Source organism: Homo sapiens, chromosome 18 (genome assembly GCF_000001405.40).
Source record: "Homo sapiens chromosome 18, GRCh38.p14 Primary Assembly".
Taxonomy (NCBI): domain Eukaryota; kingdom Metazoa; phylum Chordata; class Mammalia; order Primates; family Hominidae; genus Homo; species Homo sapiens.
Genome location: NC_000018.10, coordinates 39,144,338 through 39,169,864, shown reverse-complemented (window position 1 = coordinate 39,169,864; position 25,527 = coordinate 39,144,338). Strand labels below are relative to the sequence as shown.

At 36.2% G+C, this 25,527-nt stretch overlaps 1 annotated feature.

The window, feature by feature from the left end:
- Positions 679-1,637: an enhancer, noted in NCBI's record as "OCT4-NANOG hESC enhancer chr18:36748192-36749150 (GRCh37/hg19 assembly coordinates)". NCBI's record gives its function as "activates a minimal SCP1, AML or CMV promoter by ChIP-STARR-seq in naive and primed H9 embryonic stem cells {active_cell/tissue: H9 hESC(naive and primed)}" and the evidence as "EXISTENCE:reporter gene assay evidence [ECO:0000049][PMID:30033119]".

Genomic DNA, 25,527 nt, shown 5'->3' with positions numbered 1-25,527 from the left:
GCAACCTACCTTCTGATTCCCTAGTGATGGCAATGGAAGAGTGTCTACTGAGGCCAGATATATTTTGGAACAAGAAGATACAGTATTGATTATAGATTGAATATGAAGAATAATGGAAAAAACATTTCAGTACTATCTGTTAAGAGTCATCGATAAAGTGAAATGTACTGAGATTGGGAACACTGGGGAAATATAACTGTGGAGCAAGAACAAAAGTTTATTTTGCATCTCTATTTAGTTTGAGATGCCTCTGAGCTATCTTCATGGTGCCAGAGATGTGCATCCATTCCTCATGTAATAAAGTCCAGAAATAGAAAGTTCAGAAATCCTGTAGACGCTGCCCATCCTCATCAGTGTCTGAGACTTCTTCAATCTTTCTTCTGTTTGTATATGGTTTCTTTCATCCTTACGGCCATATTATGTTCACAAATGGCTAGTCTGTCTCCAGTTTCACATCTACATTCCAAATAGGAAGGAAGAAGGAAAAAACAACAAGGAGGAAAGTGAAGCAAGTATATCATGAAGCGTCTTTTCCAGCAATTCTCCATAGACTGCCAATCACAATTCCTAAGCTTCAAAGGAATGTGTGTAATGTCTTCTTTTTTTATTATTATTATTAAGCTGAGTACATTGTTTTCCTAAACATTCTTTCTCTCTCTTTCTGCCTCTATTTTTTCTCACTCTTTACCGACTTAGTGAAAAAAGAAGAGGGAAATGGATATTAGAAAGGCAACTGTCAGAATCTGCCACAGATGTTGTTTATGATCTGAGTGAGAATAGTGTCAGTGGTGAAGTGGAGGCAAAAGTCAAATTTAAAACTTTAGAGAAGTAATTGAAAGAGAAAGTCTTGGTAAAAGCAAGCCTGGGCAGAAGCTTGCCTGAGAAGAAAAGGAGAGAAAAGGGGCCATATAAATGGATGTAGAGGCGAATCCATTCATGTTTAAATGGTGTAGGAAATGACTCTTGGCTTTTCTTGCTCTGTACTCCCTTGGCACCTGAAACTTGAGTAGCCACTCAATAAATACCTGTGAAATTAATGAGTAGTATTGTATTGAGATCATTGAATTTTTTTTTGTTTTTGGTCAGCCTTTCCCACATGTAAGCAGAAGTAATGTAAAGAAAATGCCATGAAATGCATGAAATGGAACTGAAATATTGGGAAGCATCAGACCATGCAGAGCTATGTAAACCCTGCTAAGGTTTTTGTATCTTAATATAGAAATTATGAAAATCAATGAAAGATTTACACTTGCACAGACATGATATTCACAGTTTATAAGGACTCTCTTTGGGTCCAGGTAGAATTGGAGGGGGAGAGTGAGACTGCAAGTCAAGAATTCAGTATCTACTGCAATAGAAAAGGTGAGAGATAAGAATGCATGGAATGTACTGGTGATGGTGACTTGAACTTCCTATGTTCTTTGTTATATAATAGAAATATTAATGAAGAATATTTTAAGTGCTGTTTATGTGCTAGTCATGATTCTAGTGTTTTCTGTCATCTATATTACAAATAGATAATATAGATACTTATATAAATCAAATTCCAATATGTAACTACCTTTGATTAAGTGACATGTAGCTGATAACAAATCACTGCAGGTTCTTGCCAAAGCCAGAGCCAGGATTTAAACTCAGGTCTATCTGGCTGAAGAGCCTACTAGCTCACCACATACTCCAACAGGCAGCAGCGTTGCACTGTGGTTTAGGGCCAGGCCTTCTTCGTGCATAGTATAGCAATTCAGAGCCTGCAATTCTGAGCTGACACATCTGTGTTCAATTCCAGCCTCCATCCCTTCCTTATTGTATGAACACCAGTATTTGTTTACCAACCACTCATTGCCTCAGTTTTCTATTTTGTAAAATGAAGATGATGATAATAATGTCTAACTGATAAAATTGATATGAAGATTAAAAGAGTTAATATTTATAAGTCCTCTTAAAGTAAGCATGACATATAGAATAATATAGGTCTTAATTAAATAAAAGAATTTTTTTCTGTGTGCTAGCATTTAAGCCCTCTGTGCAAGTATTACTTTGATGTGCCTCTTTCACTCAGATATCTTACTTTTAAGTGGATATGAAAACTTAATATTTTATTTGACTGTGTCCTTTGTTTTTCTGTGTCAACTTTGACTTCAGTTGCTCAATTGACTTAATAGCTTCTTGAAATGGAAGAAATTTAGTATTTCATGCTACTCTACAAATTTGGATTATCTTGAAAGTGTGGCAAACATGCTTTCTTTTACTTTAATTGCTCATGCGGTTGTGGGGAAGTAGTTTTATACCTTGGGTAATTCTCATATGTAACTAGCCTACATATAATTAATATTTTCTTTTAACTCCTTCTGTTGGTAGACACTGTGTCATTTTTCTCAGAAATTGTCTTGTGAAAGCAAGACCCAGAGAGAAAGTAGAAAGTATAAGAGAAACAAACCTGTTTCATTGCTTGGTTTTTACTTCTAACAAACAGGAAAAGAAGTCACTTCTTCTCTGGCTGAAACAGTTTTAGCTGAGTCCTGAAAATTACATTTTATGTTGGTTATTGCCACTGTTGAAAAGTTCACATTTTTTTCTCATGTGACAGTAATGATGTATTTGCTAAGCCAATCATGAATCTAACTATAAGATAACAGTACCCAAGACTACCTGAGACAGGCCTGTAAGTACTGGGATGGATGTTAAGCCAGGCATCTGACTAGAACTGAATTTCAACTCTCTCAGCTTCACTGTGATAACTCAAGATTTTATCAGTTACTTGGATCTGGTATTGGGCAGATTGTTGGGCTGTTATCTCCAAAGCTCCAAGCATCCAAGAAAATGGAAAGTTTCTTTAAAGACCCAACACAATTCCTACTCTCAATCAGGGTATCTGTCTGGAGAATGTGCATTCATGGAGTTAGGGAGGGTCATCAGGGAGTATGGCTGAGATTCTTTCTATACATATCCTCATGCACTTATGGTCTTGAATCATTCTCTATCTCTTGTCTAGATCTGTTGATATCTTTTTGTCTTGGACTACTGTCTCCATGGTGACAGCCATGGAAATAGCAACACTGAAGAGAACTTTAAACTTTACTAAATTCACAGGGAAGGGAGATAGAGAAGGAGACATAGATGTTAAAAAAAAAAAGAAAACTTTTTTATTTTGCATTCACACCACTACTAACACCAAATGTCTGGAGTTTTTATACAGGAAGCATTTCTCCAATTTTCCTAACACCAACCGGGTATTTTACAATTTAATTCAATTCTGACATGATCTACCTGAAGTTGTGGTCAGATCCCACAAGTTAAGGGGTCAATTTCATTAGACTGCCCCCATTTCAGATGTCAATCACAAATCTGGGCTTCCAGTACTTTTGACCAACTGGCTGTAAATTGGGGATTTCCATGATCCCTTCCCTTGGGTTTAATAATTTGCTGGAATACTTCACAGAATTAAAAAAAAAACTTACATTTACTAGTTTATTACAACTGAGGAAATGCCAAATGGAACAGATGCATAGGGCAAGGTAGGGGAAAGGGGAATGTGGTTTCCACACCCTCTGTAGGTGTGCCTGGCTCCTAGCACATCTAGGTATTCATCACTCGGGAAGCTTTTCAAACCCAAATTTAGGTTTTTACTGAGGCTTCATTACACAGGTAAGATTGATTAAATCATTGGTCATTGGGAATTAACTCAATCTCCAGCCCTTCTCCCCTCTCTGAAGATAGGGGGGCATTAGGGATTGCTGAAAGTTCCAGCCCTTTAATCACATACTTGGTTTTCCTGGCAGCCATTTATCTCCATCCTTAGGGGCAGTCCAAAAGCCAGCTCATTAACATATACTCAGGTGTGGTTCAAAGGGGCTTGTGATGTATTGCAGAGAACACACCTTTCACCATTATCACTCTGAGCTATCTCAGGAAACTGGGAAGACAAAACCCCACATATTACAACAAAATATGTTCCCATAACTCTTGTCAATTAGGACATTACGTGGGTTTCAGAAACTCCAGCCAGTATTTGGGGATAAAAACCAAAATATATATTTATTATAATATTTACAGATGTTATGATTTGGACCTTTTCTGTTGCCTAAGCATTGAGGAGTAAAGCCTTCAAAGCTCAGAAAAAAGGGTTGTCAAGCAGACCAAGGGCATCCCAACTGGAAGAGACTGCAGATAGCAAGATAGAAATACTTGAATGCATACTCACGTAACAAGATTTTTTTTCCTGCATGTAAAGGCTAGATGAAATTGAGGTTGAGAGAAAGAGAGGTGATGTAGTGAAAAGAGGCAGGTTTGGATAAGAGGGAGTTACTGGGGTGGTTGATCTTAAGGAAAATGCCATATTCAAAGTAGAAGAGATTTGCGTGGTTCACCCTTTTCCCCACCCAGAGACCAATGAGATTCTAAGGCACCCTTCCTATAGTATATGAAGACTATACTGTTTACTTTTTGAATGCATGCCTAGGCTTTAGATTTGAGTGCTACCCCTGTGCCTATCAGAGGAGAGCAGAGAATTGGAAAGAAATGGCAGGACCTGGGGAAGGAACAGCTTCTTCACTATGCAATGGCAATAAATTTTCACTGAAGCTAGTGCATATACTTGAAAAAGTATCCTGGATAGAGCCACACTTCATCTATGTGGACTACCTCCTTGTTGAAATGACCACAGCAGCAGAATAGACTGAGGTCTATAAAAGCCATACTATGTACACATCTCGTCTACTTGCTGCAACTAGAACTCCAGCTCAAGATAGTACTGGAGAGAGAGAGCAGGAAATAGGATGTAAATTGAGTTTAAGATTAAAGTTTTAAACTGGCTTGAGTTTTGATTGCTGGATCAACTGGAAAGTTACGGTTTCCATCCAAGATGTCATTAAAGGACAGGAAAAGGAAGATTTAGGAAAGCAGCATTCAAACCAGTGGTTGGGGAAAACATTCATATTTATACCCTATTGCATAATTTAGAATAATCAATAAAGTGTTGACATATAATATGTATAATATATGTAGTAAAAATTAATCTTAAATCTTCTTGTTTATTTGAGTGTTTATTTGTTTATTTTCTTTCTCCTTCCACTAGATTATAAGCTCCATTAAAATCCCAGGGAAAATAAGTGAATTTTAAAGTTATGCTGCATTAAATCAGCCTAACAATGGTAAAATATAAAAAGCAAATTTTCTCAATCCATCAATGTTTATTATTATACATTTAAATTTCCAAGAATCTCCCAGTCCTCTGCTGTCCCAAGACTTAGTAATTCAATTGCTCATTTCCCCATTTATTCACTCAATAAATATGTATTCAACTTCATGCACATTGCAGTTTGTTAGGTAGTGTGGGGACTGCACATGGACTTAGAAACAGATTTTTCCAAAGAACATAAAATCCGAGCTGGGCTAACAAGATGGAATTCAATAAATCAGTTGAGAAGAAGGTGTGAATTGTAGAATGAAGCTGTATTTATAGATGCTGTTAGCTTTTCAGAAGATGGCAGGTTGGTCAGATGCATGGTTATCAACGAAGCAGTAACAGACCTGTAGAGTGTGAAGAGGGAGTGGAAGCTATTTGCATCAGTTAGAAGAAGTGAGGAAGGGGAAGAAATAAGTTGGTGTCATTAATGAGATTTGTGGGCCTCTCCAAGTAAATCATTAGTTATGTATAGGGTCTAATAGGAGAGGACCTAGAAAACAGGACTGAGAAGTTTGACTTAACTGGATGGAAAACCTTGTACCATCTTTCCATAGGAAATCCACAAAACACAGAATTAAGATACAGACAGTGAGAAGAGACTACTGACAGCCAGCCTGGGTGTGTTTAAGAGCAGGATTGGGCCTAGAAATTGGGGTAAGAGTCACGATTCAGGTGGAGGTAAGCTGCAGGTAGTAGAAGTACATAGAGGTAGAAAAACAGGCAGTTGCATTCTTCCTTCTCCCAATAACTATTATAAAGCTAAATTTATAATCTTGGTCATAATATTTCCAATATGATTAACATGACTTTTGAATGGCATTGGGGTAATAAATGGATAACAGTGATTCTAACCCAAACTTCCTTAGCTGACTGGTTTAAGTTGAGAAATTTAGAAGGTTATGGAGAACAGTTTTTGTCCCCATGGTACAATCCAGGAGATGTATTAATAAAAGACTGTTACATTTGATGTAAACAATAGGGGCCGTATTCATGGAGTTTGCTACTTCTGTGGTTTTGTGGCTCAGCCACTGGAACATCTACAATGTGAACAAAGTGAATTTAAGACCTTTTCATGTCGCTTTCACCCTTAAGAAAAGCTCAATAACTACTGATCAATATGCTGTGCAGAGCTCCTTCCTGAAACTGCTGGATAATTTTTACTGCAGTTATAATTATAACATTTGCTCATTTTTTGGTGTAATTACTGATGTTCACAGTAGCTCAACTTGAATATTTCAAAATCATTTGAATATTAATTTAACATACATTTCTTCTGTTTATTCTTCTTTTATTTTGAGCTGCTATGGTTGCTTCCTTTCTAGAAGGAGCCAAAGAAATGTCACTTCTTGGAAGCCTGCCCTGACCTTTGCCACCAAATGATGAAGTTGTACCACATGAATTCTGCACTATCCATTTGTCATTGTGATATTGTGATACAGTAATAAATACATATTTGGTCCTCATCCTGAGCTCCTGGCACGGAGCTCCTAAAACCCTTGGAATTCCTGAGTGATAGGGGTGAGAAGAGTGTCTTTTATTATTCATGACAAATTGCTTTAAACCATACCTGAATTTGTGCTAGTGAGGTGACTGTGGGAGGATGTGGGCTCCTTGCCAGAGAAATTAATCATGTGATTAGAGGGTGGAAGTTTAGTCCCAATCCCTCACCTCCAAGGAGAGGAGAGGAGCTGGGAATTCAGTTAATCACCAATGGCCAATGATTTAATCAATCATATCCACATAATGGAAGCTTTAGAAAAATCCTGAACTATGGGTTTAGAGAGCTTCCAGGTTGGTGAATGCAGTCACATACTGGAAAGGTAGTTCCTCCCACTAAAGCTCCTGCACTCAGGACCTTTCTAGACTTCGCCTTATGTAACCCTTTAAGGTAGGAGGTGGGACTTGACTCCGGAGGTAGGCTTGGGCTCCAAATCAGATTGAAGACTAGCTGAAACAGGGAAGAGGTAAAAACACCTCTTCATAAGACATGCCTTGTCAGTTTACCACTGCCATGGCAACATCCAGAAGTTACCGCCCCTTTCCATGGCAACAACTCAAAGACCCAGAGGTTACCACCCTTTTCCTAAAAATGTCTGCATAATCTGCCCCTTAATTTGTGTGTAATTATAAGTACGTATAAATATGACTGAAAAACTGCCTCTGAGCTGCTACTCTGGGCGTATTGCCTGTGAGGTAGTCTGGCTCCACAAGGAGCGGTACATCTGCTGCTGCTACAAACTGAGGCTTCAGTGAAAGTTGCTGTTTAATGTTACCAACTCACCCTTGAATTCTTTTCTGAATGAAGTCAAGAACGCTCCTGGCCTAAGCCCCAGTTTTGGGTTTGGGACTTTTCTCCTGTCCTGCATCACCTTCCTCAGGCTGTTTATTGGTACCTTTATAATAATCTTTTTTTTGTTTTTTTTGTTTTTTTTTTTTTTGAGACGAAGTCTCACTCTGTCACCCAGGCTGGAGTGCAACAGCGCCATCTTGGCTCACTGCAACCTCCAGCTCCCAGGTTCAAGTGCTTCTCCTGTCTCAGTCTCTCAAGTGGCTGGGATTACAGGTGTGCGCCACCAGCCTGGCTAATTTTTTTTTTTTTTTTTTGTATTTTTTTAGTAGAGACGGGGTTTTGCCAGGTTGGCCAGGCTGGTCTCAAACTCCTGACCTCAGGTGATCCACCCACCTTGGTCTCCCAAAGTGCTGGGATTACAGGCGCGAGCCACCACACCAAGCCCCTTTATAATAACCTTTGCAATAAACTAATAACAGTAAAGTATTCCCCTGAGTTCTGTGAGGTGTTTTAGAAAATTATCGGACCCCAGGAGGGGGTTGTAGGAACCTTCAATTTGTTGCCAAATTGGAAAGAAGTGTGAGCAACATGGAGACCCTCTGCTTGTGATTGGCTCCCGAAGTAAGGGGGCAGTCATTTGGACCTCAGCCCTTCATCTGTGGGGTGTGCACTAACTCTAAGTAGTTAGTGTCAGAGGGAATTTAATTGGAGGGCACCCTCTGGTGTATGCAGAAAATTAGATAATTTCTTTTTGAAGAAAATTCATACATTAGGTGTTACAGTTTTGCAAGTAGAGTAACATTTTTCCATTTAGTCATTAATTATGGAGTGAAACGTATAAATTTCTTATGTTGCTTTTAAATCATTAGTTTTAACTCTGTATATGCTTGTGAATTTAACCAAATTTTAAATTATTTGAGAGAAAAAAGGTGGACTGTCAATTACTGTAGCCAGAAATCATAGCTGTTATTTTTTTAAAGGAATATGCCTGAATTGCATAAAATATGACCACTTTTCCTTGAGTCATTTTCATTTGCCTTTCAGAGACAGCAAACAGGGCTAATTTTCTTTTTGTAACACTACTCAAATATTCGCACACGGTCTGAGTTGTCTAAAACCTCTCTCTTTTTCTCCACAAAATTACCTACTGAGTACAATGTCCATTATTTGGGTAATGAATATAATTGAAACCCAAACCTCATCATTACACTATATAGCCATGTAACAAACCTATGCATGTACCCCTTGGGTCCCCTGAATTAAACTTTCTTTTTTTAAATTTTGTTTCCTACCAGTAACTTTATGAGTTTCTTCTCAGATGCTTTCACTTGCAGCCATCCGGTGCTCTGCCTGAAAACCAGGACACTAGTTTCTGCAAATATGTTAAATAAGCAGTGATCTTACCCAGGTAATATAATGGCATAGTGACTTAATAAGAGAAATTATGTTAGAAATTTTAGAAAAATGGTTGTATTGGGACAACTTTTGTTACCAATAAAATCCAGTTGTATTGGTAGTTATCTACTTCACAACCTGTGCAGCTTAAAATCTTGGTAATCCTAAAAAACCTTTATTTAGAGTGCTAATATGAAGCTCTTTAAGTTAGTTTGGAGAGTGTTTTTTTTTTAATTTTTGCAATAATGCCATTCTCTTTGCACTGATTTTTCTTCTGAACAGAGAAGTGTGCACAATTGGAAAGAGATCCACAGTAAAAAAAAAAAAAAAAAAAAAAAAAAAAATTAAAATGTGGCGATTAAGACCCCAGAGAAGCAAATATGGATTGCTGCCTACATTAAAATGTTTTTGAGAGCACAGTGGCTCACACCTGGGCTTTGGGAGGTGGGAAGATTACTTGAGCCCAAGAGTTAGTTTCAGGTTACAGTGAGCTATGATAATGCCACTGAACTCCAGCCTGAGAGACAGAGTAAAACTCTGTCTCTAAATAAAAATGAAAATAAAAATAAAATTCTTTTGGCTCAGAGCAAATCCATATGGTGTGAAATAGCAATCCATAAGTAGTATGATAGAGGAAGATGACCCTATACAACTTATAAGGAGTCCACTTATTTCTTACAACTCTGCTGATCTTGTATATACCAATGCACAGAGCAGTCGTTTACACTATGCCTTTCCCCTGTGTGATACATTCTGTTGGGACAGAAAAAAGATTTAAGTGACACACAGTCTCACCTTAACTGCATGACACAGTGCTTGGTAATTAACAAACAATCCATCTGCTCATCTCTTTTAAAGAATAATTTTCATTTCATAACAATTCAAGTGTTTATTTTTAAATCAATGATCTGAATTAGATGCTCCAGGAGGAATTGCTGAACTTCAAAATGCAACATGCTGCTAAGATAGAGATGAAACCCACCCAGTTGTCCCATAGAACTTGTATTTATGGCTTCTTTTAATAAACATAGAAACTGATCTTCCCAGTGTTAAAACTTGAGAAAGTTGCATTTGTCTTTTCTGAGTTCCTTTCTCACGAAATCACCCATCAGGGCTCCCAGATAGTATTAAGGAGCTAAAACTTACCAGATCACCACATCTGGACAATAAGAAGCCAGACCCCTCACTCACCATGATTGCCTATCCAACCACCTGTTTCCTGTTGACCAACTCCTCTTCCTTACTTCTCCCTAATTCCTGTTTTCCCATACATGGTTACATTTCTTCCCTGCTATATAAACCCCTAATTTTAGTCAAGGAGATGAATTTGAGACTGATCTCCCTTCTCCTCAGCTGCAGCACCCAATTAAAGCCTTCTTCCCTGGCAATAATTGTTATCTCTGTGATTGGCTTTCTGTGTGGTAAGCAGCAGGACTTAGACCAGCCCTCTGAGATTTTGGTAAAAGAGATAGTTTTCCTGTTTGAAATGATTTTAGCTAAAATAAGAAAGGAGAGTTCTAGAAAGTTCCTCAAACTTTCCTGTGACATCCCAGTACCTTTCCCCACCATGGACCAAATCCAAATAATCCTTGAATAACATATTTTGATGGTCAATTAGTCAATTAATATCTCGTGTGGTAGCCAAAATAATTGCTCAACTTTGTTCATGGTTCTAAGAACAAATTTCTGGCCATCCCACACATTTTGCTCAAAATGTTATTTTTATTTCTTCAACTATAGAAGTGTAAAAAATAAAACACAATGTTGGAAAAATATGTCAGTTCAATATAAATTTTTATATAAAAGTTGATCACTAAACTCTATATCAACATTCAATGGTTCATATAGTTTACTTTTGTAAAACTGCCAAATCTTATTATTTCAGACATTAAAATAACCAAAGCAGATTGAGCATTTAACCCGTTGGTGATGAATTCAGTCTGTAAACGTTCAACCTGGTGGTGTTGTCTTTAATGGTGCAACTAGTGAAGAATGCAGGTGGGAAGAAAGGTATGACCCTTGATTAATTTGCTATAATCTCTTCTCAGAACAGTATGAAGTGACTATTATCCTAATGACACATATGGGAAAAATGATTTTAAAAAATGTTGTGGTTTGCTAAATATTACTGAAATAATGATGAATGGTTAATATCCAAAGCCCCTAATTGATGATGAATCTGATCTTTATTGACTGATCTTAACTGCTTCAATTTTTGCTGGCCATTTATACCTGCATTTTTCTCATTTACATCTCCAAGAAGATTTTAAATTTGGTTTCTTGTTTCTATATTATGTTTGAGGTAACAGAGATCTAGAAAAATTCTGAAACTTGATTGCTAGCAAATGATGGGATGAATTTGAGGCCAAATCTATCAGATTTTACTCTGCTAGTATGTCACACTATATGCCACCCACAAACCAACAAGAAGGAAATGTTATTTCCTGAATATTTCCAAATGATTGCAATGTTGCGGGTTCATGATCATGGGTACATCTTTCTTAAGTGAGAAAAATATACGATTTTCTGTTTTAGAAAGAGATTATAAATATTATATACTATATTAAGGCCTACAAATCTTATTCAGATGTATTATCTTGTATTGTTATTTCTATGTTATCATATATGATAAATAAGTACTTTTATTTTATTCCTTTTGTTTTGTTCCTTTTACATTGGAAAAAGAATATTAATTAATTCAGGAACATGTTTCTGCTTAGTTTCATGGTTTTCTGGGACCAGAGGCATTCTCTACAAGGGAAGCACCAAAGCAATTAATGACTTGATAAAAACACGACTCTGCCCCATTGCCATTCATGTCAAAAAGGGACACTTGTAGTGTTAGCAATTCAAGTACATATACATACAAATTTATAAGAGCTACTATGCTTTAAGCTATCTTTAAACAATGTATGTTTTTCTCTCTACCATCACTTGGATAATGAATTCAATAATAAGTTGAGAACTAATTTGTTAAAATGGTACCTTCATTTATTTACACTGTAAGTCACTCAATTAAACTTCAAGTCTTCATAAGAGAGAAATAGGCCTTCTTTCTCTTTACTTCTGTGTAATTCCTGTAATTCTGTTTCTTCTCTTGAACTACAGTCCTATTTTTGCATACTAAGTTCTCTTACCCTCTATTTATCTCTGCCTCCTTCACAAATAGGGTCTCATTATGTGTTCTCTGAAACTTCCTTACATTTGTCATTCCATTGATGTAAACGTACTATTAGTCAATTCAACATTCAAGGTGAGTTCATAACACTGACTTACAGAAGAGCATTACAGTGTTTTTTGTATCATTCTCAATCATATCCTCATTTTTTTGCCAACATTGTACATTGAAATACTCACAATGATGCATAGATCCTTTTCCTGAGAGGTTACAATGCAGGGTGAAATAAGAATACTTTCTGGTAATATATTACATGTCACACAGTGATTTCAAAGCACTTTGTTAACAAAGAAAGATTATTATCATCAATTTAACGGAGACTGAAACACACAAGTTAAATTACTTTTTCAAAGTTGAACAGAAAGGAAGTTACTACATTATGAAGATAATTCATATTCTTGTCATTATGGTGTTTAATTCTATCTACTGGAATACACTTCCTTTCAGGCTGTCTTCTATATGACAATTTACTGCCCACTTGGCAGAGCAGAGGCTCAAATTCATGAATATGAGAATCCACATGTATGTAGGCAGCATCTGGGTTTATCTAATCGTATGGTGACATGGTTTGTCTGGTTGGAGCCAAAGTGGAACTGGTTCACTGCATCTGAAGCTGCTCACATTTTCATATGTACATAGTTTTAAAATTTGGATAAAATAATATAGTAAAAAACTAAACAAGATAAAAAATAAAAGAACAAGCACACATTTCATTAACTGAAAATCAACCCTGAACTAATTTTGGTATTACTCTTTTTTTTAATCATGTGTATATGCACATAGGTGTGCATTTTAAGAATTAGGATTATAATTTATATATCTGTATCTTTAAAATTTTTCACATAATATTATTTCTGAGTATTTAAACATTAATGAGCACTTTTCACAGTATTTTAATGAGTCACTTTTAATGGGCTCTTAATTTCTTATATATGTATAAGTATACATGCATATTTATACATAATTTATTTAAATAGTCCACTATTATTGACCATTTCTGTTGGGATTTACTATTTATTTTAAAAACCTTAAAATTTGTTATGTGTTTGTCAAATTATCAATTTCTTCCTTCTGGACTTGCCATTTTTTATATTGTTTAGAAATATCATATGCTACCTTGAGGTAACTGAGATACCCTATATTTTTTCTAAAAAATGTGTTTGCATTTATTTTTAATAATATATTTTTAAATTTTGAATTATACAATAAATTGTTGTTATATACAATAAATTATTATTAGCTATTGTTGTCCAATTGTGCTACTGGACACTAGATCTTATTTTTTCTCATGCAGGATTTTTCTCAGTTACTTTGCCAGCTGGGACCTCTGGCTGGCAATACCCCTGCCCAGGCCTCACTTGGGCATGCTCACCTGCTGCAGGAGGTGCCCCACCCACTCAGCCTGCCCAGGCCAAGACTGGCTTGCACACCAACTCAGCCCGTGGCTAGGCCTGGTGTGCCCCAGTCTGCCTGTGCTATAGCTTATACCCACATTTGGTGATTCCCAAGCTCTTGTTTTGCATCCAAGAAGAATGAGGATACACTGACAATTGAAGGGTAAGGAGGGCAGAGAAGAATTTTATTGAGTGACAGAGCACCTCTCAGCAGAGAGGGGATGCAGGGTTAGTCCCCCATCCCTGCGGTTCAGTGATTTCTCTTCCTGTGTGGCTGAGTCTGGGGCTTTTATGGGCTCGGGATAGGGAAGTGCATGCTGATTGGTTTGTGAGTGTGCAAAGAAAGGCTAAAGCAAAGGCATCTCTGAAAGATGGGCACAGCAGCATAGAAAAGCAATTAGAAAAGGGTAGGTATGGCCGGGTGCGGTGGCTCACGCCTGTAATCCCAGCATTTTGGGAGGCCAAGGTGGGCGGATCATGGAGGTCAGGAGATCAAGACCATCCTGGCTAACATGGTGAAACCCTTTCTCTACTAAAAAATGGAAAAAATTAGCTGGGCATGGTGGCGGGCACCTGTAGTCTCAGCTACTCGGGAGGCTGAGGCAGGAGAATGGCATGAACCTGGGAGGCAGAGCTTGCAGTGAGCCAAGATAGTGCCACTGCACTCCAGCCTGGGCCACAGAGTGAGACTCTGTCTCAAAAAAAAAAAAAAAAAAAGAAAAGGGTAGGCATATGTAAAATATGTGAAGGGTGGGGATCAGTTAGAGGAAAGCACACCAAATTGGAAGACAGGTACTCAATCTAGTCCATGGAATTGATTTGAAGCTTGGCTTTCAAGCTTCAAACTGTCTCTGGCTTGGAGGTTGGGTTTCATTGGGGACTTACCCCTATCTGCCTAGGCATTTGTCTACCTCCTGCCACTGTCACTTCTATCTTACTATGTTTGTACCTATTAACTAATACTTCTATAACCCCCCTAATGCCCCCCACTACACTTCTCAACCTCTGGTAACCACCATTTATAATGGTGGTAATTATAATAATTTTTTTTTTAGCTCCCACATATGAGTGAGAACATGTGATATTTGTCTTTCTGTTCCTGACTTATTGCACTTAGCATAATGTCTTCCAGTGCCATCCATTCTTTTTTAATGGCAGAATAATATTACATTGTGCATATATGCTACATACATTTTCTTTATCCATTCATCCATTGATGGATACATAGAATGATTCCATATCTTGGCTATTGTGACTAGCACTACACTAAACATGGAAGTGCAAATATTTCTTTGATATACTGATTTTCATACTTTGGATATATACTCAGCAATGGGATTGCTGGATCATCTGTTAGTTATATTTTTATATTTTTAAGAAACATCCATATTATGTAACATAATGGCTGTACTAATTTACATTTCCACCAACAGTGTATGAGAGTTCCTGTTTCTCCTCATCCACACCAAAATTTGCTATCTTCTGTCTTTTTGTTGATAGCCACTCTAACTGGGGTATGATGATATTTTACTGTGGTTTTGATTTACATTTCCATGATAATTGATGATTTTGAGCAAGTTTTTCATATACGTGTTAGCTATTGGTGTGTCTTCTTTTGAGAAATGGCCAATCAGGTTTTTTTGTCCATTTTTAAATTACATTATTTGTTTTTATTGCTATTGGGTTGTTTGATTTCATTATATATTCTGGTTGTTAATCCTTGTTAGCTGAATAGTTTGAAAATATTTTCTCCCATTCTGCAGGCTGCCTCTTTACTTTCTTGATTGGTTTCTCTGCTGTGTAGAAGCTTTTTAGCTTCATGTGATTCCATTTTTAAATTTTGGCTTTGGTTGACTGTGCTTTTGAAGACTTACTCAAGAAATCTTTGCCCAAATCAATGTCCTGAAGCATTTCCCCAATTTTTAAAAGTAGTTTCATAGTTTCAAGTTTTACAGTTAAATCTTTAATCCATTTTAATTTGACTTTTTGTAGGGTGAGAAATAGGGTTCTAGTTTCATTCTTCTACATATGGATATCCAGTTTTCCTAGCATCATTTATTGAAGACTGTCCTTTCTTCAGTGTATGTTCTTGGTGACATGGTGAAAAATGAATTGACTGTAAATGTGTGGATGGATTTCTGTCTATTCTGTTCCTTTGGTTTATATGTTTTTATGCAAGTATCATGCTGTTTTGGTTATTATGGCTCTTTGTAGTAGAATTTAAGTCAGGGAATGTAACTTAAGCTTTTATCCTTTTTTCTCAGGATTGCTTTTTTGGTTTCATATGTATTTTAGGATTTTTTTCTATTTCTGTGAAGAATGTTATTGGTAGTTTGACATGGATTTTATTAAATCTGTAAATTGCTTTGGATAGTACAGATATTTTAGCAATATTTCTTCTTCATAAGATTTACTCCATTTGAAATTTATTTTTATTGTTGTAGAGTTACATCAAACCAAACTACTAGCACTGGGAGCCAGATATTAATATATTTTTAAAAACTTTCCCAGTTGATTCTAATATTCAAGGAGCATAGAGTATGAGTGCTTCATATAAATAATAAAATTGAAAGTTAGTTATATAAATATAAAAGGTAGTGACTTTTTTGTCAAAATATTATTGTTATTAGCATATACATTTTTCTCTGTTGTATAATTTTTTGGCTAAAACCTGCAAGTTTTATTACTTAATGATTTCAGTATATTTTATGCAAAACTTTTAGGTTTCCATTTTTAATTTTCTCATTGACAAAGTGTTGTTTATGAGAAGTCCCCCATTTCCTAATGATAGGTCCTTTTTGAAATTAATTTCTCATTATGTAATAGATTTTTTATTTTATTGCATCAAGAACAGAATCAATGGTCTTCATTATTTTAACACATTGGATTTTATTATTATTTTATTGTAATCTAATATTTGATAGGATTTTGAGAATGTTCTTTTGTCATTTGAAGGAGTGGTGTGTTCTTTAATATGATGGTTTAGTATTTAGTATACACATTGACCAAATACATCTTATTTACTGTGTCATTTAAGGCTTCTATAACCTTAGTTGAATTTTGTCCAGTTGATATGTCCTGGATTGAAAAAAAAAATCTTACTTTGTTTTTTTTATGTGATTTGTTTTGTTTCCTTTTCTTTATGAAAGTTTCTGCTTTGCTATGTGCTGTATTCATATTAATAAATGTGATAAACGAAAAATTATACCTTCATCTCATTTTCTGTGTTTTTGTCTGTATTCTACTTTCTCTAATTTGAAAAACATAATTTCTTTTTTTTCTTTTTCTTTTTATTTACCTAGTAGAACTTTTGTCATATCTATCTACACTTTTAAATTCTTTATTATTTTTGTTGCTTAACAATTTTACTTTAGGGATACTTTTTGTTCTATGAAATAGATTGAGATTTCGTTTTGTGATCCAATCAGTAAGGAGTTATGTGAGATTATCTATAGATAGATATGAAAAAAGTTGTGTTCTTTTCTATCATGTGTATTGTTTTAAAATATATTAAAGTCTTTTACTACAAATTTTTTTGTTCCTCAGTTATTCTGAAATTCAGAAAGTTTTTTTTAGGCTACTGGTCATCTTCATATAATGTCCTTAGCTTCTATTTTTTTAGGTAGTATCCTTTTGTTTCTTAGAATGAACAACCTGAAATGAGCTTTTATCCTATTTTTAATGCTTCCTACTTTCCTTCCCAATCCATTCTATAAATCATCTTTTTTAGTATTTTCCTTTGTATTTTTAAATATGCTTTAAAGTCTAATACTTATTTTATTAGTTTCTAGTGGGGTCTTTGAGTTTTGCTTATTATAAATGAGGCAATGAAAAGGCTTATTCCACTTTTCATCTTTTAAACTTCTTCCCCCATTTTTGTTAGCTGTGTCATTTCTACATTCATAAATAGCTGGCATTCAAAATTGTATTCTATCACTCCTTTTTCCATCTAAGTTTTTGTTTTGATGTGGCAGTTATTTTGCATTCACCTTCCAGGAATCTCTGGAAACTCTGAGCAATATTTCTTCATTTATTTTATGTTCAGAACAATAGGCTTTATCCTTGAGAAAGAGTTTATTGGGACATAAAAATATGGGGCCGCCCATTACCCTCCTACAGTACTTGTGGGCAGTATTCATGACCTCTGCATTGATTATTACTGTAGAGAAGTCAGACACATTCGTGAATGTTTTCCTTGGGAAGGTCTTGATCTTTTTGTGTGTATAGTTGCCTAAAGAATACATTCTTTATATCTGAAGTCCAATTGATGTAGGAGATCAGCATTTATTATTTTCCAGTTATGACAGGATGAAATAAAAGAAAAATGGGCAAAACCAGTAAATGGTGCTGAAGGCATACTATATTAGCCTTTTATACTCATCCGCCTAAGAAACTCCCACTAGTGCCATGACAGTTTATGAATGCGATGGCAACATCTATTAGTTACCACGCCTTTTCTAGAGATTTCAGAATAAACCAACTCTTAATTTGTGTATAATTAAAAGTGGATATAAATATAGCTAACCAACAGCCTGTATGCTGCTACTCTAGGTGCACTTTCCATGCTCCCTGCTCTGCATGGAGTAGCTACTCTGCTGTACACTGCCCCTTCAAAAAACCTACATTCATCCACTGCTGGATCACTCTTAAATCCTTTCCTGAGCAAAGCCAAGGATCCTCCCATGCTAAGCCCAAATTTTGGGGCTTTCCTGTCCTGCATCATCTGGTGCCCGACATGGAGTCAACAAGAAAGCAAGAAGTGAGAGAGCAGGTGAGGCAGTGATCTGGCAATCAGTAAGATGGCAATAGATGATGAGGTGGCAGTTGAAGCTACAGAGCTGTAACCTGAACACTAATACTAAAGAGCTGCCAACACTGCAGAGATGTGTATTAACCAAAGACTCTTTCCAGGGCCATCTTATTTCCTGGCAGAATGGCAGAACTGAGCAAATAAGCAAGTGGCTGCAGTGCTGCCACTTCATGTGGGACCCACTGCTCTTGCTGGCAGGTCAGTCATCTATGCATTGATCCCCTTATGACAGATGAGCCCACCCATATCAAGGAAACCCAGGGGAGACCTTTACCAGGGCCCCAAGTTGGAGACTAGTCAGTGTCATTTTGACTCCTGCAGACAGGTGAGTGTTCCCCCTGCCCTGCCTTTGATATTGAAGGAAATCACCTACACCCCAGACTGCTGGTTTGCTTAAGTCCATTTTTTTTTTCTGGGGTTTCCAGATTCCCAACTTGACAGATGACTCCCTGCAGCAACAGACAAGTGGTCACCTAAACATTTTGGTGTCTCCACTTCTGCGTGAGTTCTCTGTTGGCTTGGGAACTCCAGGGCACCCTTTGTGCAATTCTATTTACCCCTTCCTTCTCTTCTTTCATTAAAAAAACATGAGATAAAAGAAGATTTGAAATCAAAATTACCATGAAAACTACCTTACACAAGTTCTGGTCTGTAGCTTTCCCTGGATTACTTATCAAGGCAAACAAAGTTTAGCCTTGTAGACAGGTCTTAATCTTGTGAAAAATAATTTGAAATCCATCTATTTTTTATAAAGTGGTGAATTTATATTGCCATCTTATGACTAGAATTCTGAGGTAGATGCTATTGGACCTTTGTGTATATGTATACACATTTAGATATTTTTGTGTGTATGTACGTGTATTATGTGTTGTGTCTAGCATGCTATCAAATTGGCTTATAAGTAAGTGAATACTTATAAGTTAAGTAAGTTCATATGCTTTTCAAGTTTACATGAATCTTGGATAAATAAAATTGATTTTAAAATTATTGATAAAAATAGAAATGTCTTCAGAATTACACAAATAAGGCTAATTTAAGATTGTTGGCTCAATAAAGACAGCTGAGTCTTCTGAGTTATTGACAAAATAGTCATATGTTCAACTTTAAGAGTTGTACCTAGCAGTTTACCTAATGTTTAGACTTTAAAAATCATTAACTAGGATATAACTTTCAGTGATTATTAGCTTTGTCTAATATTGCATTTTTTCATAAACAATTTCAGTAAACTCCTAAAAATTAATAATGATGAATTAGGTAAATGAAATGAGATAAACACTTATAGATGAACTCTTTGTGTAATTTAAAATTTTTAAATTGTTTTGGATGCTTACTGGGTGTCTGGCTCATTGACACTTGAGAGGATTTTTATATGGGAAAGCTTCTTTTTTTAATTGTTAAATGTTTCTTGTCTACAAAATACTAACATCTAAAAGACAATTTAGAATTTCTCGTTTGCTTGGTTCATATAAAATGTGCCAAAGACAATGTGTTTTTATTGAGAAAAAGAACAATTTTGTCAAATTCAACTTTTATCAAAGGTTGTTTAAATTATGGACTTTAAAAGGTTAATTATCAAACCAGGCAGAGTAGGGGAGAGAAATGTGAAATTTCTGTGAAGAAATGTGAAGTAGGGAAGAGAAATTTTGTGGATATAAAGATGTATTTTTGGTAAGGAAAGATACAAAGAAAAGAGTAATTTTATATAAGAAAGAATTTTCTTTGATGACATAGCTTTGCTGTATTCCCACTCAAATCACACCTTGAATTGTAGTTCCCATAATCCGCATGTGTTGTGGGAGGGACCTGAAGGGAGGTAATTGAATCATGGTGGTGGTTGCCCTCATGCTGTTCTCGTGATAGTGAGTGAATTCTCACAAGAGCTGATGGTTTTATAAGGCACTTTTCTCCCTTTTGTTCATTCTGCTTCTCCTTGCTGCTGCCTTGTGAGAAAGGATGTGTTTGCTTCCCTTTCTACAATGATTGTAAGTTTCCTGAGGCTTTCCCAGCCATGCCAAACTGTGAGTCAATTAAATCTCTTTCCTTTATAAATTACCAAATCTTCAAAAGTTCTTTACAGCAGCATGAGAATGGACTAATACATATGGGAAGTTATTTTCCTAAAGTAAAACGACTGGTTATTAAGAGATAGTATAGGACAAGTCAGAAAGTCCAAGCATGTCATAGATAACCCGTGTAAGTTGTGATAATGTTTGTAAAGGGCAATTTGTGAAGAAATTTTGCATATGATTAAGTTGACTGAAATTAAAAGGGAATTGTTTATGTTTATAATAGTCTTTGTAAAGATTGGTCTCCTATGTTAAAACAAGTTTTCTCAACTTATTGAGAAAGCCTGAGATGATAGCTCTCTATTTCAGCTTTTTCATCAGCTCCTGAAATTTTTTTCTGCTACGATTCTAACTATTGTTATGGCCTGATGCTGAAATATTTTATCTTAGAGGTCTATAAAAGCAATCTTTTTCTCCAATGTAGCTTGATTCTATATTCTTGGTTATTTGAGATGTGTACCTTTATTTTTGCATTTTGAGTTTTGACTCTCATATTGCTTAAAAAAGGTTTTAAGGGCTAATGAGTGCCTTCCCACCCCCATTCTCATAAGGCCTGGAAAATTTAATTGGCTATAAGAAACCTGAAGAACTAACTTAAGACAATACAAGAAATAGGGAGTCAGACATGCTTCACTATGCCCCCCATTTTGGAATTCAGGCCAGGTTCAAAAGGCCCTTTGAAAAGATGAGATGAAACATTACCTCCTCCCACAAGGGAAAGAATCAATTCCCCCATTCATCCAGGGAATTAGGCTTACTATAAACTTGGAAAGAAGTATCCCCTGAGGATTAATTTCAACCAAAATGGGAAGGCCCTCATCAGATATTATTAAATACTTCCACTACTGTTTAACTTCTGGGGATCACTAAATGGGCACACTTGTCCAGAATACTTCCATCTGTAGATAGGTGGAAGACCTCCACACCTATTTAAGATAATTAACATTCAGTCAGAAATGGTAACATGATGCTGTAAGTAGGCATAAAAGCATACATTTTTCTGTTCTTTCTAATTGTAATTTTTCTATTCCACTGTTCTAGACAGTTTTTCCCAGGTAAAGACCTCTTTTATACCTGCTGTTGGAATTCAGTAAATGGATTTCTAGTCAGTCTCTTGTTTTTTACCTTTTCTAGGACCTTTAACAAGCTATCTTGTTAGTATTAATCATTAGCTCTTGCTTATTTAAACTCTTAGTAAAATTTGTATTATCTACATTACAACAATTCAATGCAAAGACACTGCTGGCAGAATGCTTCCAATGTATCCCATTTTCTGACCTGGAAAACAGACATCCTGCCTTTGGGTCCCTTAGATCACTTATCCAGAGGTTTATACTCCTCCAATGCTGGGCTGGACCTACCCTCATAAAATCATCAGGAAGCAGTTAGAGAAGACAGACCTTTGCCCTTCTACAACCCTTTAAGATTAAAGAGGAGTATATAATCTCTGAGGGGAGAATGAGGTAGGAGACTGTCAGGACTTATTTCCTGTTCTTAACAGGACGAAAGGAAGAAACTGACTGAAACCAACAAATGGTGCCAAAGGCATCCTCTAGTTGCCCTCATTGATCATCAGCATAAGATCCTGTCACCAGCACCATGACAGTTTACCAATGCCATGGCAACACCTGGAAGTTACCATCTCTTTTCCAGAGATTTCTAAATACCTTGCCCATTAATTTCCATATAGTTAAAAGTGGGTATACATACAGCTAGCCAATAGCCCATACACAGGGTGCACTGCCTGTGAGTTAGCACTTCTCTGCAAGGAGCAGCCACTCTGCTGTACACTGCCACTTCAATAAACCTGCTTTCTTCTACCATCAGCTTGCTTTTGTATTCTTTCTTGAGCAAACCCAAGAACCTTCCTGGGCCAAGCCCCAACTTTGGGGCTGGCCTGCTTTGCATTGCAATAACTATTTTTACATATTTAAATTTACATTTACATTAACTTGTTATTATGAAGCATTCTGAGCCAACTTTGCTTTGCATATTGCATGAATGTCTAATTTTTAGATGCAAGGCTTCTTTCATTTCAGGAAAGATTTCTTAAATTATATATTTAAGTATTTTATTTTGCTTTATTATTTTGATTTCAGTTGCATATTCCTGTTAGGGAAACATGGTATGTTATTTTCCTTACTCTTCTTTTTTTTTTTTCTTTTTTTGAGATGGTGTTTTGCTCTTGTCACCCAGGCTGGAGTGCAATGGCACAATCTCGGCTCACTGCAACTTCTTCCTCCTGGGATCAAGTGATTCTCCTCCCTCAGCCTCTTGAGATTACAGGCATGCACCACCATGCCCAGCTAATTTTTGTATTTTTAGTGGAGATGGGGTTTCACCATGTTGGCCAAGCTGGTCTCGAACTCCTGACCTCAGGTGATCCACCTGCCTCTGCCTCCCAAAGTGCTAGGATTACAGGCGTGAGCCACCATGCCCGGCCTAATCTTCATTTTTTCTTACTCTTTTGACCTTTATCTCTCTTTTAGCTTGTTTTTCTGTCTCAATTCTATTCTTTGTAGCTTATAATGCAATATCTGTGGGATCTATTTTCCTTTGCACTCATGTTAGTTTAGTATTCATTTCTCAAATTGCTTTTTTCCCTCCTCTATTTCTTACTTTAGTTCTATAAGTTTTCCTTTCACCCTTTCATTTGGCCTGGATACTGCCTCTTGTTTTCTGGTATTTCTATTCCTGATTTCCTGTTTTGGTGTTTGGCCTTCTTTCATAGCTGGAATTACTTCATGTACTTCAAAAATTAATATATAAAATTATTGCTAGAAATTTAATTTGTGTACACTGCACACACACACGCGCACACACACACACACACACACTGAGTGGCTACATTGTCTCCTAATTTCACTTCTCTTTTCTTTGTATCTTCTGATGGTTACTGTCTTTACTCATTTTTTTGGTATTACATATATGTAAATGATATGAGTTTTTGTTCAGTTTTTGCAGAAACATCAAAGGCAGATGATTCCTATGGAAAATGACGAGAAATCAAAGAAGGGGTCAAATTTATATCTTCAATGTTGTCCTCCCCTGTAGATACAGGGATGGATACTTCCTTAAAAATATGGTCCCCAGGTTGTAATCTCACTTAAGTACATTCTTTCTCCACCAACATTCACCTGACTCCTTTCCTTCACTGGCTATTGCATCAAAGAATAAAACCTTTCCTTCCTTCTCTCAGTCTTTGGCCTCTCTTAATTTTTTTTCTAATTCTAGCTCCTCTCGTCATTCATGCTCTGTTCAATCTTGAGCCTGATCACAGAAGTGCCAGTCAAGGTGAGGCGTGGACCTTTGGGTAGCAGTTACTGGCTTGTCCATTCTAAGATCTCTTACCTCCCCACCTCCACCCCACTGTGGCACCTTCCTTTCTTCCTTTCTTGTTGCCCAGCTGTAGTCTTGTGCCTTGATTCCACTGTTTTTGGTTCTTTCTGGCCCACATACATACAATTAGAGGAACATGGTTCTTTTTGTTTGTTTGTTTGATTTTTGTACTTTTTTGTCATCCAACTTTAACCTAGGTTAAAAGTGTGTCTGTCTTTGTATGTATGCACTTGCCTGTCCTTCTTGTAGCACTGCATGGCTTTAGGACACTAAATAGAAACCTTCAGAATTAAGCTGACTTTATTCCTAGTATACCCTCTCCCTTTTTTTTTTTTTGAGACAGAATTTTGCTCTGTCACCTGGGCTGGAGTTCAGTGGCATGATAGCTCACTGAAACCTCTGCATCCCATGTTCAAGTAATTCTCGTGTCTCAACCTCCCAATTAGCTGGGATTACAAGCACATACCAACACACTTGGCTAATGTTTGTACTTTTAGTAGAGACAGGGTTTCACTATGTTGTCCAGGCTGGTCTCAAACTTCTGGCTTCAAGTGATGCACCCTCCTTGGCCTCCCAAAGTGTTGGGATTACAGGCGTGAGCCACCACACACGGCCCTTAGTATAGCCTCTATTTAAAAAAAGAAATCTTCATATATAGGGTAAAATTGAACACATAATTACCTTATTAAATATCTATGCACTGTGAAGAATTAAATGTGAAGTAAGGCTTAGATATGCACGAAAGAGGTGTGTCTTTCAGGTGTGTCTTAAACTGTGGAAGGTTGAACCTTAGTAACCCTGGACCATGATTTTTAGTGAGGTGAAGTTAATTGGGTGTGCTTCTTTGATTTTTACATTTAAGAAAACATCTACCTTCTAAACTTATAAAAATTCTATAAGTAGGTATATATTTTTCTGGTAAAGTGAAATAATTCTGTAAAAAAATGGAGCATTGATTTTGAAAAGAGGGAGTTTTAAGATAAAATCTGATCATGAATATAAGAAGGATGATTCATCTTAGGTTCAGTTGCCACAATGTCTTATATTAGCACAAATTATTTTTCAACTGCAGTCAAACATACTAGACATACACACCAAATGGAAGAAGTAATATGCTGAAATTTCTCACATAAAGACATGCTGAGTTTCTTTGTTGTGTTTTGTCATCTTAAGTTGGATGACAACTAATTATCAATGAAAATTTTCAAAGTCCTCAACATATGGGAGGTAATAGAATTTTACAAAATTTTTCTGCAGCTTGAAAGAAAATAGAGTCATTCTGCAGGGAAGCTACTTAGCTTCTTTCAAAGTTTATTCAAAACCTTAAGGTTACCATTGAAATTAATCAAATGAAACTTAAATATTACAATGAAATGTACTTACATTAGTAACATCAGAAAAATGGATTGTTACATTCCACATGAAGGCAAGACTCACAATGGAGCAATTGTGCTATTGACCTTAAAATGTTTGTTATGTGGTCAAGCTATTTATACAATTTTATAAGCAGAAAGTTTCAAAACAGAATTAAATATGTAAATGCAACTGTATTGGTGAGCTACTAGAAAGGCAGGGAGGGATGTGGGAAATATTTTCATTCTGCTTGGAAGAGAGTAAAGCTATGAATGTTTACATCTTACTTTGCTTTTGTTTGGTATGTACATGCTGGAAACTCAAGAAGAACTCATAGTTAAAAAATTTTGACACATTAGGAGAAAAAATTAGATATTTGGATATATTTTTATTTTATTATGAAAAACCTAGGCAAAAATTAGCCAACATTGATACTGAAACTGATAGCTATGGCAGAAACACACACTCTAAACAACACACACACACAAACACACACACATGTATACAAAGATGATGG